We start from the raw sequence: 17,427 nt of genomic DNA, 5'->3' as shown, positions 1-17,427 counted from the left end.
AAGGAGCATAATGTAAGGAGCATATCTGAGTCCATGATGTTTCCATATAAGGCCTTATAGCACTTGTAATGATCCATCAAGACTTCCTTTTTAAAAGAAGAGAAATCATGACTTTGTCTACTACCCAGATGTTCAATATAAACCAGTTTTTCATTTATCAAATGCATAAAAGCTTTCACTGACAGCTTTGGAATAAAACATATTTCCTTCACAAATTCCATTGTATGTATACAGCCATATATCACTTAACAATTGGTTCTGAGAAACATGTCATTGGCTGATTTCATCATTGTGTGAGCATCATAGAGTGTACTTACACAAACCTAGATGGTATAGCCTACTACACACCTAGCTATATAATATACCCTATTGCTCCTAGGCTACAAACCTGTATAGATGTCACTGCATTGAATACTGTAGGCAACTGTAATACAATGATAAGTATTAGTGTATCAAACATGCTAAACATAGAAAAGGTATAGTAAAATTACAGTATTATAATCTTACGAGAACACAGTTATATGTGTGGCCTGTCTTTGAAATGTCATTACATGGCATGTGACTCTCTCTCTCTATATATATATGTGTATACCCATACATACACACACACACATATATACATTTGAGAACTTTTTAAGCTGTGTATTTTATTTTCTAAAATTGATATATTAACTATAATTTTGTATTACATGTAGATTTCAGGTTATAATTAGTCATAGTGAAAAAATTCAGCAATATTTTAATTCAGTACATAATATCATTTATTGTTGAAACTACTCAACTCAACAGGAAATGTTTTAGATACCAATGTGGGTGAGAGGATACATAAAGGAAAACTGATATTTTCAAGAATTAAGACAATAATGAGTTAGTACTCCCAGGATATAAGTATTTAAGGTATAAACGTTCACTGAAAAAGAAAAATGAGAAAAAAAAAAGTCAAGAATAATAAGTGGTTTTCTTTTCTAGCACATGGAAAAAATAAATATGTCTTACCAGTGTATTATGATAGTAAAAAATAAGGAGAAAAATGTCATCAAGGACGACAACATGTTATCCACTGATTAAACCTCTCTAGGGACCTAGGGGCACACAAAGATGACCCAGAATAGGCTTGAGAGAGAGAAACTGTGGATGGAAATATAATAACCACCCACAAACATTTGAACATTACACCAGAAATGGAACTATATATCATTTCATGCCAGCTACAACTGAAAGTGATAACAGAAATTTACAAAGAGGTCAGTTTAGCTTAATCTTATATAAAAGTTCTCAGTAGTAATCCATTATCTTTGGGGTTTGGGAAGACTAATAATTTGATGCGGTGGATGTGCTTTGTCAGAATAAATTCATGACCCAGGTCAAATTTAAGTGTTTTATTTTTTTAAAGTTTTTACTACTGTCACATTTTAAAACATCTTTATATTTTTTATTTCCCCAAATACCTTTTATCTAAAAAATATTTTTGATGATTATTTGTATTTATAGTAACTCTGTTTCAGACATTTCTGAAAACTGGAGACTTTTTTTCAACTCACCAAGGTGATAATCAGTGCAAAATCAGTGTAAAAACTTAGTAAACTAGCAAGTGATATTACTTTGTCCTAAAAAGGATAATAATTTTTTTATATTGAGCAAAGCATTTTGCTGACTAAAATATAATATGTCTTACTCATAGTTCAATGCAGGCTAGACTGTCTTAAAATATAGATAAGGAAAGACATATTTAGGTGCTGAGAATCATAAAGATAGCATTTGTAAAAATTTTTAATTTTTAAAAAAGAGTAGTTCTGTGAAGACTTGTTGAATGCATTACTGAAACAATATTCCCACCACAAACAGCTGTTGTAATTTTTTTTAAATATTATGTAATGTATTTCATTCTTGCTTAAGACTAATATTTACCCAGAAAGATAATGGAAAGCTGCAAAACACATAAGAAAAATCTATAATCACTAAAGACATATTATAAACATAGTTTTAAGAAAGGACAGCTGATTAATTCACCCATGAAATATTTACTTGGGGCAGACTGTATTGATGGCCCTGGTTCAAACTGCAATAAAGTCAACAACAGTAGTCTTAACAAAGGCTATTTTAGCAATAATGAAAATGCTTGACTGAAATTCTTGAAAGGCTATGAAAAGTTTGAAGTTCAGCTTTAACACCGATAAGCAGAGCTATGTGTATTCTAAAGTTCAGTTTGATATAGTATTACCTGTGTTGCCAGCGGCAAGTTTCCTATAGATTACATCTCTCCATTCTCTCCACTTTTTTCCCATTCCGACTGCTAAGACATTTGTCCAGGCCACTATCATCTCTTGCCTAGATTAATGTGTCAGTTTCCTCACTCATTCTCTGCCTCCAGCCTTGCGCAGTCACCTCTCTGCCTGCAGCCTTGCACAGTTTCCATGCTGCAGACAGCATGAGCTTTCTGAAGTGTTAATCCCTTGTTTATTACCTCATTCTCCCCATTGATTTTGGAATAAAGTTCACACTCTTAAAACAACATGCAAGACCCTTGGTACCATTTGCAACCTCATATTACTCACTCCATCAGGGTCTATGCTGCAGCCATGCTAAGCTGCTCTTTGTTCTCCAAATATGCCATGTTCTCTCTCTCACCCCTGGAACTGGATAAATATTTTTCTCGCTGACCAGAAAGTCCACTTTCCTTCTCATCCCCTCTCTTTGTTTCCTATCCCCTCCCTTCATGCTTGAAATTAATTGCTCCTTGTAGAAACTATCTTTGATTCTCCTTAACTGCTACCCCAAGGTTAAGTGGTCCTCCTGGTTTCTTCCGAGGCATTGCCTTGAATGAATACTCAGTACCTTGAGACCCACTGACCTTATATTCCCAACACCAAACATACACCCAGACCACAGTAGACAATAAATATGTTAAATTAAATAAATGGTTAAATACATGTATCAGGATGAGACCCTGTACTACATTTTTTTTTTTTTTTTTAAGACAGGGTCTTACTCTGTTACCAAGGCTGGAGTGCAGTGTTTTAATCATAGCTCCCTATAGCCTTGAACTCCTGGACCCAGGTGATCCTCCCACCTCAGTCTCCTAAGTAGGTAAGACGACAGGTACATGCTACCACACTGGTTACTTTTTAAAAGCTTTTTGAAGAAATGAGGGTCTCACTGTGTTGCCCAGGCTGGTCTTGAACTCCTGGCCTCAGGCAATCCTCCCACCTTAGCCTCTTAAAGTGCATTTATTAAATGATGTGATTGAACTGAAAATATATTTATTCTTTGGTCTGTAGAACCCATCTTTATGACTTCTATTTAGCAAACAGAGGAGTCCAACATTGAGAAAAGTTTAATAAATGGGCTATTTGCAAAGATGTGGGTGAGTTTTAAGGAAATCACCCAGGAATAGTGTAGAATCTCGGGGTTTATTGAAGGGAATTGAAGGTGGTGCAGAGTTAGTACTCTTAGTCCTGGGAAAGGAGGGAGTGTGGTTCCAGGACCCAGCACTGGTAGCCAGCTATTGAAAATACCTTTGGAAAAGCATCTCAGCTCTCTGTCCTAACCCCTAACCCCACCCCTCTCCAACAACTTGGGAAACTGGGAGCCAAGGGAATAAATATCTCTCTTCTCTTTTCTCTTGTTCTCTGACCTCCAACTCCACCATTCCTGTTAGCAAAACCCAACCAGAAGCCAGAAGGCAAGGAAATCTGTGAATAGAGTCCATGCAGATTTGTGCTCCAACAAAGGGCAGGGTGGGGAGGGTACCGTCTGGGTGTGGAGAGGCAAACAGAAAAAAATCATCACAGTGATCTAGTATTTCAAGAATTAGAAAACTGTAACAATTTTTCAACATTACACCAAGACAAATGCCTAAGTTAAGAGAAACACGTCCTAACACCAACTTGGAACTAGTCTTATAATCAGCATGTTTCAATGAATTAAAATAACCTAATCTTCTAATGAAATGGTTAAAATTACTTTGCCTCATATGCTCCTTTCTCCTATGTTCCCAATCTTCTCATTTCTGATAGAAACATCACATAGTAATGTCATTCATCACCTTTGAAGTCTCCTTTCTTAAAGCCATTGCTTTAAGAAATTTTAAGCCCTTACATTAGGGATAAAAGAAGGTATCTTGGCATTGCAAACTTTATTTAAATGAGTAGAAGAAACTAGAGATGTTTGAGTAGGGCAGTTCAGTGTGGGTAGAAGGTGAGAGTTTGAAAGTCTAGGTGACATCAGAATTGTGAGTTTCAGAGTTGAGCGAGTTTCAGTGAGGTCCAGTCTGCACAAATACATTTTAACTATCTTTCCTCTGATTTTTTTTTTTTTTTTTTTTTGCATTTCTTACCCCCATCATATCTCCTGCAATTTTAAGCCTACAAATTTTCTGTATAACTCTAGGACACATTTTCTCTCCTGACTTATGTTGCCTCCAAGGATTTTGGACAGCCCACAATTTTAGAACATGATTAAAACAATAACAGCAAAACAGTGAAAAAAATTCCAAATACGGTGGAACACAACCAGCATCCACCGGGCAGTGGGATGAGGGCCTGTTGTTTCCTGTCATCAGAGAACAGTCTGTGGGCTCCACTTTGTGAGTGTGCAGCTCAAGCTGGAACTTTTCTTTAATAAACCTTAAAACCAAGCAAGTCTCTGAGATTACTGTTGTTTCAAGGTGTAAAAGTCTAAAGAGGTCAACAATTTTAGTGGAAATACCAATGATAAAAATGGAAAGAGACACTAAGAGATCTTCAATCTGCAGACCACTTTTTAGCCACAGGAAATATCTATTCATCACATATGAAAAGCTCACCAGAATTAATTATAGGACTGATCCTGAATTTCATGATGAACCAATGGTGTGATTTATGATTTTCATTAAAAATGTACACTAGAAACAGAAGTAATTGACTTGCTATATTGTATGAGTGTATGTATGTGTGTATGCATAATGCAGGCATAAGGGGGCCCACATTATGATTAACAACATAATTATTTACACACACCTAGGGATAGGCCCAAATATGGAACATTCTTCAAGGAGAAAATTTTCTATTTTAAAAGATCTTTAAAAGATGGTTGCTCATGCCTGTAATCCCAGAACTTTGGGAGGATGAGGTAGGAGGATCACTTGAGTCCAGAGTTCAAGACCTGCCTGAGCAACATAGGGAGACCATGTCTCTACAAAAATATCAAAATAAAAAATTAGCCAGGCAGGATGACATGCACTTGTAGTTCCAGCTACCTGGGAGGCTGAAGTGGGAGGATCGCTTGAGCCCAGGAGCTCAAGGCTGCAGTGAGCTATGATTGCATCACTGCATTCCAGCTTGGGTGACAGAGCGATATCCTGTCTTAAAAAATATGTATATATAAAATCTATATTAACTCAACTATTGTCTACTGACATCCACTATCAAGAAATACAAATCTGACTATCTCTATTTAAAATCTTCTGGAGGCTTCCCCTACACATAAAATGAAGTGTGGATGACCTGTCCTGTCCCAACCACCCTCATAGCTGGGCCCCTTCCATGTCTTTAACCTCAGCTCAAGGTGTCTCGCCTTGCCACAGTACTTGGCTTCCTTTCTTTTCTTTAAATAAGCCAAACTCTCTCACAACTCAGAATCTTCACACATGCTGATTCTTCTGTCTGAAACTCCATTCCCTAGGCTGTTGGCTTAGTTTACTCCTTCTCATCTTTAAGGACTCTGCTCAAACAGCACCTTCTTTCTTGCACTACTACCTCAGTATCCTCTCCCCCTATTAACTATTGTAGAACCCTGGTTATTTCCTTCATTAAAATTTTAGTCTTTATTTCTCTTGTTTATTTATTTGTATGTTTATTTAGTATTCTTTTCCGGCTAGAATTAATCAACATGAAGGTGATTTTCTTGCTTATGTGGCAATCTTCAAAGGTCACTGTAGACATGGAGAAGCTCAATAAATATTTGTTAAACAAATGAACAAAAGAAATGGCTTCTCATATATATATGTACATATATATACACTTACATATATAACATATATGTCATAGTATATAGTACTTGGTGCTTTACATTTTAGCCCATTTCTTTTTTTACAGTAATTACTAACTATGGCTTTTTTTATTTGAATTTTTATTTCAGTAGGTTATAGGTGGTTCTTGGTTACACAGATAAATTATTTAGTGGTGATTTCTGAGATTGTAGTGCACCCATCACCTAAGCAGTATACACTGTACCTGATATGTAGTCTTTTATTCCTCATCCCTCACTCAACCTTCCCCTTTCCTGAGTCCCCAAAGTTCATTATATTATTCTTGTGCCTTTGCATCCTCGTAGCTTAGCTCCCACTTATAAGTAAGAGTATACGATATTTGGTTTTCCATTCCTAAATTACTTCAATAAGAGTAATGGCCTCTAGCTCCATCCAAGTTGCTGAAAAAGACATTATTCCTTTTAATAACCAAGTAGCATTCCATGGTGTGTATGGACCACATTTTCTCTATCCACTTGTTGGTTGATGTAGCTTATTTTCTTTAAGATATTTTTCTTTTCTAAATCTTGAAGACAGCTTAAAAATGCTAGATTATTTGGTCTTTTCCATGGATCTTATTTTAAATTCTTTTTTTTCTTCTTTTTTTCTTTTTGAGACAAGGTCTCACTGTCACCTAGGCTGGAGTGCAGCAGCACAATCACGGCTCACTGCAGCCTTGGCCTCTCAGGCTCAGCAATTCTCCCAACCTCAACCTCCCAAGTAGCTGACACTACATGTGTGCACCACAATGCCTGGCTAATTTTTGTATTTTTTTGTCAAGATGAAGTTTTTCCATGTTGCCCGGGCTGGTCTTGAACTCCTGAGCTCAAGCAATCCACCCACCTTGGCCTCCCAGAGTGCTGGGATTACAGGTGTGAGCCACCGCATCAGGCTTACAATTTAAATTTTAAAACAAATGCTTACCAGAGGCCATGTTTATTTTGATAAAGTGACAGACTACCTAAGGTAGCCATGGTATCTATAAATATTTACTAGTTCTTTTCATCAACAGACATGCTTCAAAATATTCAAATAATAATAACAAACACGAGCTTTTCTTTAACCTCCCTAACTTGATGTTTTTTCGTTACTCATTAAGGTCACTTCTTTGCTGCTTTCTGTTTCATCCTATGTGATATAGTCGTTTGTGTATGCAGCACCTGTGATAACTCATTATCGTTAAAAGTAATGCCATTTTGTTGTATTTAATCTGAAGGGTGATTTAAAAGTTTATTCATGGCTAACTAGTGGCTGTTGAACATTCCATTTTCATGCTTTAATTCCTGATACCACATTTACAATAAAGTTGTCAACTGGGGCATATTTGTTTCTAGATTTTTTTTTTTTTTTTTGAGACAGAGTCTCACTCTGTCACCAGGCTGGAGAGCAGTGGTGTGATATCTCGGCTCACTGCAAGCTCCACCTCCTGGGTTCAAGTGATTTTCCTACCTCAGCCTCCCGAGTAGCTGGGACTTTAGGGGTGCGCCACCATGCCCAGCTAATTTTTGTATTTTTAGTAGAAACAGGGTTTCACCATGTTGGCCAGATGGTCTTTATCTCTTGACCTCCTGATCCGCCCGCCTTGGCCTCCCAAAGTGCTGGGATTACAGGCATGAGCCACGGCGCCTGGCCTGTTTCTAGATTTCTTATGCGATACCTTTGCTTTCCTTCTTGCTACTTCTTCACATTGAAACACATTTTATTTTTCTCTGCTATTAAAATCTTTAGTCAGCATAACCACAGACAAGGGTCAGCTCCTGTGCTGGGAAAAATATTTGCACACCTAACCCAGAAGTATAAACAGTGTTCAGAGGTAATAGGTATTTAATTCATTTGCTTTTAGTTGTGGTTGAAAAAAGATAGCACAAGAATTCTATAGTTTCTGGGCAAATAATGTAGAAGTGAGTTAGTACTCCATAAAATGCAGTCCCATGTGTCTAAACAACGGAGATTGGATATCTTTTTTTTTTTTTTTTTGAGACGGAGTCTCGCTCTGTCGCCCAGGCTGGAGTGCGTTGGCGCCATCTCCGCTCACTGCAAGCTCCGCCTCCTGGCTTCACGCCATTCTCCTGCCTCAGCCTCCCGAGTAGCTGGGGCTGGGACTGCAGGCGCCCGCCACCATGCCCAGCTAATTTTTTGTATTTTTAGTAGGGATGGGGTTTCTCTGGGTTAGCCAGGATGGTCTCGATCTCCTGACCTCATGATCCGCCCATCTTGGCCTCCCAAAGTTCTGGGATTACAGGCGTGAGCCACCGCGCCCGGCTGGAGATTGGATATCTATGTGCAGATTTGTTAAACAGTCCCTCTAATCAAGATGAAAAAGCAAGCTTGAAAGATGTATCAAATGTGATATTGTGAAAGCTTATAAAATTTGTGACCCAACATAAAAAATTAGACTGTATAGCAATGTAACTAATAGAAGAGCTTCTGTGCATGGAGATTTTTTTACAAAATAAGATTGATATTTGAAAATCAAGAATTAAAGTGCCCAGAGCAATGGCTAGCTACTACATAGAACATGAAGCAACAAGATAGAGAGAAGAAGAAACGGAGACTTATCAGTGTAATAGTGATGCCATTTCATTGAGCTATTTTAATTAATTCAAAAATTAATTCATAAATGCCTAAATCTATGATTTCCCATAAGCTGAAATATGAAAACTTTCCAAGGTAATTGCATTAGGACACATTCCTCCTTGGAAATTTTATTCTTAGATGTTACCATGTGTATTAAGAAATGTATTGAAGAATAGACTTTAGCAAGAGATTGTATCTTGAACTTGTTTATTTTTACCTTAGTAATTAAGGTTCAGGTTACATTCACAATTATTAGCCAGAAATAGCATCTTTGTTTTCCCTCTAAAACAAGGCAGTCTTTCAAGTTCTAAGTTCCACTGTTTTACCCCTCACAAGTACAAGATATAAATATCTAATAGATACTTTCCTTCTTTTCTAAATATTAGGAGATAATTTAAAAACATTTTTATTACAAGAGGGGAAAAAGACTTTTAAATAGACCAAATATCCAAATGTTATTTAGAATAGCTATATGTAGACATAGATTCAGATGTAAATAACTAGCTAAATAAAAGCATAAGCTTAATAATACTAAGCTGAATTGGTTTCATTATCAGCTCACTTTAAGTATTAACATTAGAAATAATATTTGTAGCACACTGCTAATATTATACTTATTTTATGATGCTACTGAGTATAAATTTTCTTTTACACTAATTTTTCATCACAGGTATTAGTCTTCAAAAATCATTATTTACCTTTATTTGAAAAAAAATCCTCCCATTAAGGACAACACATTTTGAACAGTCAACAAAATCCCTTCCCTCAAAAAGGCTAAGTCAGTCACCATGCTCTGTGTCCCTCTGGGCTGAAATGATATTAGATTTAGTGAGGTGAGCCGTATATCACAAGTACTCCCAGTGCTGGACGAGGAAATATTTCATTGCATGGGATTGGAGGTGGATTTAGAATTACTCTGTGCCCTCAAATTCTATATTTTTTCTTAGGATACATCATTGACATATTCTCTATTTCATCAAATTTCTTACCAGCTTGCCTGTTGCCTGCATTCTCTCTCTCTTTCAAGTACACGTACACACACACACACACACACACACACACACACGCACATGCACACCATTGATAGAAATCACAAAGCCATTTTTTCTTTTTCCTTTTATTCACTCCCAGCAGATCTTTCTTTTTCCTGTAAGCTTACCACTTCTAAATTTAATATGTGTTTTGAGCTCATTATTTAAAGGAATCACATCTTGCTAATCACATCCAAGGCACCGGAACATAGTGTCTATACTGACTGAACAGGCCAAGCTTCGTGAGTTAATTAATAAAATATTTGGTAAGAAACGGTCCATCATTATCTTATCACTTGAGATGACAATGTTGAAACTTACAGGATGGAAGGCATCTCATTAATTCAGACCATTTCAAATCAATTTTATTTTGACTTACAGTCTTGAAATAACATATCATTATCTTTGGCCATATCAAAAACTGAACCCAGTTGGAAAATATTTATATGTCCAAATATTGGTTTAGAGGAAAGTATAGCATTTTTTTGGTAAATTGTTCACACAGAATTTTCCCTATTCCAACCACCTATCAAAAACCATCAAAGATATAAAATATAATTTCTTTCTACAGAAGCACATTTATATTTCCACATTTTATCTATTTCCAATTTAGGTTTTGCTATATATAAACATTATCTTATAAAAGATTTCATTGTTTAGGATTTAGAGGTAACTGTTAGGAAAGGTTTTGTTTTATATTGTTTCAAAAGGAAATTTATACTTGCTTAGTTTAAGAAATTACATGCATAACTTCCCAAGCAACTTTGATTTTCCTAAAATAACTGCAAGCATTTCTTATTCAATCAACCAATCAATATATATTTATTGACCTGCTCTATTTACCAAGACTATTAGGTGCTGACCATTCTAAGTTATTTGACCTTGAATTATTGCTTTACTGGGGCAGCTGATATATAATAATAATGGCAACACATCTTGTTTCATTTTTATTTACTTACAATTATCTCTTAGTTTTTCTGTTTTACCAATATTATTTTTCATACAATTTAAAATTTATAATTCTTTAGGAGTCATAGTTCTTCCTCATTTACTATTAATCCTATGCTCTTTCCATAAGGCATTTTTCCTTTTGCATTCTGCTTTTTCTCCCCAATATTCTTCTGAACACTTAATTTGTGCTTTAGTTATAGATATTTGGTCCTTGATTTGTTCTTGATTTTTAAGAAAATAATTCCTTCCTTAAAAAAGGTTAGAGACAGAGTCAAATCTTTTTTTAATTATGTCTTCGTCACACAATAATTTTGATCAACCCCAAATCATAAAATTTGCTATACCATGCTTGCTATGGCAGGAGGTAAATCATTATGTTTCCAGATCTCTCCTTGACTGGAAAATCTTAATGCTTTCTCCTTTTTCCTGTTTATTCCTGATGTTACAATGATTTCTTCTTAAATTTTAGAAAGGAATTTCTACTTTGTACAATGCCACATTCTGTATCCTATAGATCGACTTCTGGTAATCAGGCCTTTGTTTCTCTCTTGTATTCACATTTTTTTATTGTCAATTTCTTCTACTGAAGAAATCAGCCTTTTATTTCCTGATTAGAATTCACTTTAAATGTCACTACACAGATAAATCAATATGTGAAGGTGAAAATGACTTGAAGAGCTTTGTCAAGGTAAGTGTTCTATATCAGACGTTATGGGATTTTTGAAACCAGAAGGATCCTTAGGGCTTATGGAGTTCAATGACCTCATGCACTGCAGATGAGGAAACTGAGCCCAGGAAGAGAAGACTTGCCCAACTTAACGTGAACAAATCCTGTTCTCCAAGACTCTTTCTATTTCATAGCACTAATGCAAGGAAGCTTTCTAAAAGTGATTTTAAATTTTTAATAGTTGTTTTTATTTTTCTTCCCAGCAATATCTGGATACGGTGGGTTTTATCTTCTCTTTCAAGAGTTCTATTACTCTTTTCTTCTGGTTCAGTGGGCCGGCTTGTGTTCACTTGACCAGGAATCAACATAAATCGCATTCTATCATTTTTTTCTAGTTTTACTCGTATGCTGCAAAATAAAAGCAAGATAAGATAAAGGGAAACTACTGTAGCTACTGGACTATCCTCTATTGACTTGTGTAAAAATATCTCTTCCCAGATAAATAAAACCCTGCTTTCCCTCAAAAAATAGTTGGAGGCATAAATAAGAAGGTTCAGAGGTATTTGCAACACCCACATGACCTGGCATATTGTGCTAAATGCATTTCTGCTGAATTTTGACTTTGGCCATTAATTAAGCCAAGTCATCATTAACACCGGCATAATTAGAGAAAAGCATAAACTCAAAAATAGCAAGAAGTATCCCTTAGCAGTGTCATGCTGATACCTTAAATTAGTTTTGTTTTGTTTTGTTTTGTTTTTGTTTGTTTGTTTGTTTTTGGTACATAAGGAAACCAGGAAAATATCCTTTCTTACTCTTTTCCTACCTCTCTACCCCAGGTCACCTTACACACATTTTTCATCTCTATGAGCAGCTCACTGAAGTCATTCTTTATACTACTAGTTATACTTTCAAAGTTAAGTTTAACTTTATTGTTGTGCTTAGCCTAGCGGTATCAGCATTGTATGCCTTTTCCAAATAAACCTGAGAATGATGAAGTCTTCCTTCTATGAAGGCACTTTTGCTATTGAATGTACCTTGAGATTTGATGCAGAAACCACGTTTATGGACCATAATTGTTACCAACCTATTCATTAAAGGATCAACAATACATAAGCTTCACACTTGCCCAGAAACAGTCAATAGTTAAACATTTTAAGAAATTGAAAGAACTAAACAAAATTAATAGACTGGAGAGTTTAGAAACATGCTGTTAATCAATGTTTTAGAAATAATTCACTGTGTAAAATTAAATTAGTTTAACTACAAAATTAAAAGGTAATATTTTCACATAACAATATAACTCCCAATCAAATGGCATGAGAACATGCATCTTATACTGGTGCTTGGTATACATTTTAGGTAATTTTTTGATCCTTTATTCATCAACCTTGGATATTAACAATATTCAATTTTCTATAATAGTAATTCTTCAAATTTTTAAAATCAGTTTTAAACAGAGGTCTAGGAATGAAAGACAGCCACAGTTCTAAATATTTGATTTGCTGTGATAGATAAGTGAATAAAATAGATTCTAAAGACTGGAAACCCCATAATGGACTAGCAATGCCTAGTAGCTCATCAATCAAGCAAATTCAATAAGTTGATCTGATCATGCCCAATTCCCCCGTTAGCTACTAAAACTTTTCAATTTATGCCCATTTTAAGCATAGAACTATATTCAAATACAGTTCTAATGATATTCTTGCTCAACTTCTGAAAGGCACAGGCTAAAAAATTTGCATGTTTTGCAACAGCCTAGAAGTAGAGTTCATGTATTATCAGGTTGGCCTGAATTTCCTCACTGCTGTGATATAATGGATAGTACCAACTCCAAGAATTCATAGAACATGGATGGATACACAGGGAACCAAACCAAGAGCGAGTAAGTTAAATGGTTAGTTCATTCAAGGAGCGCTCATCAATTGCCTACCAGGCATGTGTCAGTTAAATACAGCTCAGGGAACACTAGCTTGTTTCTTTCAACTCAGGAAACATTTATTCTATTGGAGAATGAGGATTTTCCCCATATGAAGGACTGACTCTGGGTTAAAAGTTAATAACAAATCAGCAAGTTGTATTACAATGGTTTGCTTGTGGAATGATTTGTTTACTCTTTTTCAATTTTCCAAATTTTCAATAGTGTGTTTATATGGCATTGATAACTTTAAAACTCCTTTACAATTAAGCTGAAATAAAAAGAAATCTATAAAACAAAAAAACCCCAGCAAATATACAAATTTTAAAAATTAAACTCTTATGTCTATTCAAGTCCTTTGCCCATTTGTATCAGGTTATTTGACTTTTTGTTGCTGAGTTATAGGAGCTCTTTATATATTCTGGATATTAATCATATCAGAGATCTAACATTGTCAAATTCATAGAAGCAAAAGGTAGGATGGTAATTACCAAGTGCTAGAGGGGAGAGGAAAAGGGGGAGCTGTTTGATGGACAAAGTTTCAGGTTTGCAAGATGAAGAAATTCTGAAGATCTATTTTAAAGCAATGTGACTGTATGTTAACACTACTGAACTGTACATTAAAAATGATAAAAATGTGGTGTTTACCCCAATTTTTAAAAATGCATGAAAATAAAACACTTGTGACAGAATAATAAATCAGCTTCTGTTTAAAAAGAAACCTGCATCAGGCAAACAAGTCCTATAATGGTAATTCTTCAAAGAACCAAAGTTCACTACTACCAGATGTGTTATTACTAAACCATTAATAAGAATAAGACCTACTGGAAGTGCATAAGGCTAATATTTCAGTTTCAGCAAAAGCAACAACAAAATTCTAATGTCGTAATAAGGTAGGTTTAACTAGTTAATGCTTTTAAAAAAATAGTTGAGTTTTTCTTTGTTAATTTATAGAAATCATCTGAATGCAAAATAAGCAATCAAGGATTCATTTATTTTTATTTGCCCTAGTTTGGTCAAATTGTTGATAGAATAATGTTTAGAACTAATTTTTAAACCTGAATGAACCATTTTTATTTTTTCTTTTCTCTCTCTTTCTTTCTTTCAAGACAAGGTCTTGCTCTGTTGCCCAGGCTGGAGGGCAGTGGCAGGATCAGAGCTCACTGCAGCCTTTTACTCCTAGCTTCAAGTGATCCTCCCGCCTGGGCCTCCCAAAGCCTGGTGTTTCCTTTAATGATTTAAAAATGTTATTCTAGTGTTGGTCTTTGCAAAGCCCTTTAAAACCGCCAACTTCAGCTTGTTCGATTTTGAAATGCGTGGCCTGAGAAATCTCCTAGGTCTTGAACATTATAAATGGGTACTATGCTCATTTTGAGGGAGCCCTGGTTTACACAAACCTGCTGCTGAACTTAGCCGTACTTACAACAAGCACTTTATTGATCTATTATAATTGATGTATTAAAATAAACAAACGAACATCACCTCCTGTCTGTAAAGCAAAACACATTTTGACTTTGGAGTTAACGTTTGCGACAGCCTTCTAACCTATGGACGTGTTCCTCAGAACTGGGTTTCTAGAAAAGCTAGGAGAAGACCCCAGCGCAGGGGAGAGGAGAGGGCGAATTGGGAAAGAACTGCTAGGGTAATCACTTCCTCGACTGGGCATGGGGTGGCACCTGAGCCCTGGCACGCGGGGCTGGGAGGGCGAGTCGCCAGCGGAGGCGAGGCCAGAAAGTCAGAGGAAAGAGGGGACCAGAGAGCCACAAAGGCAGAGCTGGAGAAGGCAGGGCGGGCAGCGGGGGCGAGGGAGAGAAAAAGAGGGAGGCGGAGCTGCCCGGGCGGGCGGGGGCGGGGGCGCGGGCGGGAGCGGGCGCGGAGGCGGCGCCGCAGCCCCAGCCGGGCCGGACGCGGGAGGGTCAGGGCCAGGGTGAGCGCCCGACTCCGAGCTGTCCCCGCTCCCGGCGCGGCGCTCCGCTCTCAGCCACCTCACGGCTGCCAGGAGTGCGCGGGAGTTTGCCCCGGAGCGCGGGGAAGTTTCCTCCGAAGCTGCGCTCCTGGAACAGCAGCACCTGCAAGCGCCCGGCAGCGGCCCGCGAGGTAACCGCGCTGGGGCTGGGGTTGGGGCTGGGGGGCACTGGAGGGGCAGAGATGATGGCGCGCTGCTGGGTACCCGCGCCGGGAGCGGGCTCTGGTGGGCGGGGACGTGCGCCCTCACCTTTCCAGGTGCTTCGCCGCTGGAGATGCGGGAGGCTTCTTCCTTTTTCTATCTCCCCTACCTCCAGTATTCCAACCCACTTCCCTTCACTTCAGTGGACGCATGGCGGGAGGTGGGGGGCGGGAGCAGGAGGGGATCCTGACTTTGAGGGGGCGCTGGAGAAGGACGGCCGCCTGAACTTGTCAGCTACCTGAGTTTCCTTCCTGCGCCCCGGCGGGGCACCCTGGACTCCAGGATTCCGGGGTCAGACCCCTCTTGGGGCATGCAGAGGTTGGAAAGAGGACGGCAGGAACAGTCTTTAGTTTCTGCTGCCAGTCTGTCGGGTCCTCCAGGGTGTGTGGCAGAAAGACGAGCATCTCTGCTGCGGGGGTGCCTCCTTTGCGTCAGTCTCAAACTCCGCGACCTGGCTCAGGCTCAGGCGCAGGCTGCGGGAGAGGTGGGAGGGAAGTTAGGGGGACCGGGAGGCCAGGTGCGATCGTGGCCAGAGCAGAGGGGTTGGGAGGGGCGATCTGAGGAGGGGCTCCAAGTGGGTTGCGGGGAGAAGGAATGGTGTGTTTGTTTCTGCTGCTGTTACTTTCACAGGGTTGCCTGCTCCCTCTTCTGCCCCGTTTGAACATCCTGCCTATCAGCATGTTTCTGTTAGAAGGTGTTATGGTTGATGTCTGTCAGGAGTTATTTCCAACTAAGTTCACAGGTGCTAAGTCTAGAGCTGCAGGCCTTCCTCCTTTCTCTCTCTCTGCGGTCCACCCCCAGCTCCCTCCCACAAACATACTGTGCCTGAATAATCCCCAGCGTTTTGAAAGCGATGGCAAGTGAATAATACACAATGTGTGTGTGTGACTTTTTTCTCCCTATTATGCTATCAGATCCAAATCAAAACGCCGTGGATGCTTAACAGGACTCCCTTTTCGCAGTTTTTCTGATAATTGAGAGTATTACCAATGTTTATTTTTCTTCGCTTTAACCTCAGAATTGCATTAATCTATCTTTGTACAATTTTATTTACATTGTTATTATTCCTCTCGGTTTGAAGGACAGGGGCCTCTTTTCAACTCACATATACACATCCAAATGCATTGTGACCATATTTAGTATTTATCTGTCTTCTGATTCAGTTGGCTGGCACCTGTTAATTCCAGTACCTAATCATAACACCATATGCCTGCCAACCAACGTGAGGATAAGGTGAATGCTATTGTTTTTCATGGGCAAGAGCACCCTGAACTACCACTTTTTATTATTGCTCAAAGGGTGTAAGAGCTTCAATCAAAGTGAATCAAATTTACAAAACAATATTACAATTCTACACCATACGATCAAACAGTATGATTCCTAGGCACTTACAGCTGACTAGTAATTGAGGAAAAATTAAAATCCTCTCATCATATGGAAAACATTTAGATTGCATATCGTCAATAAGAAATAGCACACACTGAATGCCCCCAGAAAACGAGAAGAATGTTCCTCTTACCTCATTTGGTTTTTATCCCCTTCATTACAGTACCGTCCTCCAGAAAATGAGCACCTTGCATATAGATGTTGGTATGTACTAACTAAACACCATATTTTTTAATACAGAGGCTTGGTGATAGTCCAAAAACATAAATGTTTTAAATCATTACCAACCATCTGTTCTCTCCCACTCACTTACAGCACAATGTTTTATTTTCACAGGTATCAAAACGTACTTACTCATTTCATACATTCCCATGACTATCCTGAAAGCTGTAATGGTATCCAATGTTGACTCAAGTTCAGTAACTGTTGTGTTTGGCTTATTACACCATAAGCTCTGCTTCTTTTATTTTCAATGAAAGAAGACATTCTAAAAGTTTCAAAGCACTTGGCCAAGGCTGGTGTATACTCCAGTAAAAATCTGATTGCTTTCCCCCCACCCCCCACCTTTTTGTTAACAGAGAGAAGCTAGAAATTAGTGCAGCTGCAGGGCCCTCCTGATGACCTTCTTTTCCTTTCTTCCTGGTCACAAGGGTAGCATTTGATGCTCTGAAGAAGTGCATTAAAAAGCCCTGTGACTTCAGAAACTTAGTATGGTTTCCAGGA

General features: G+C 38.1%; 1 protein-coding gene across 3 annotated transcripts in view; it reads left to right on the top strand.

The window, feature by feature from the left end:
- Positions 15,076–17,427, top strand: part of CHST9 (carbohydrate sulfotransferase 9) — a 278,828-nt gene continuing 276,476 nt past the window's right edge. For all 3 annotated transcript variants that reach the window (NM_001256316.2, NM_031422.6, XM_006722555.5), the window contains exon 1: positions 15,076–15,248. The gene's annotated coding sequence lies outside the window, so the exon portion shown is untranslated. The remainder of the gene's footprint in view (positions 15,249–17,427) is intronic.

The sequence above is a fragment of the Homo sapiens genome, chromosome 18 (assembly GCF_000001405.40).
Source record: "Homo sapiens chromosome 18, GRCh38.p14 Primary Assembly".
NCBI lineage: Eukaryota > Metazoa > Chordata > Mammalia > Primates > Hominidae > Homo > Homo sapiens.
The sequence above is the reverse complement of the archived record's forward strand: the minus strand, read 5'-3'. Positions and strand labels throughout refer to the sequence as shown.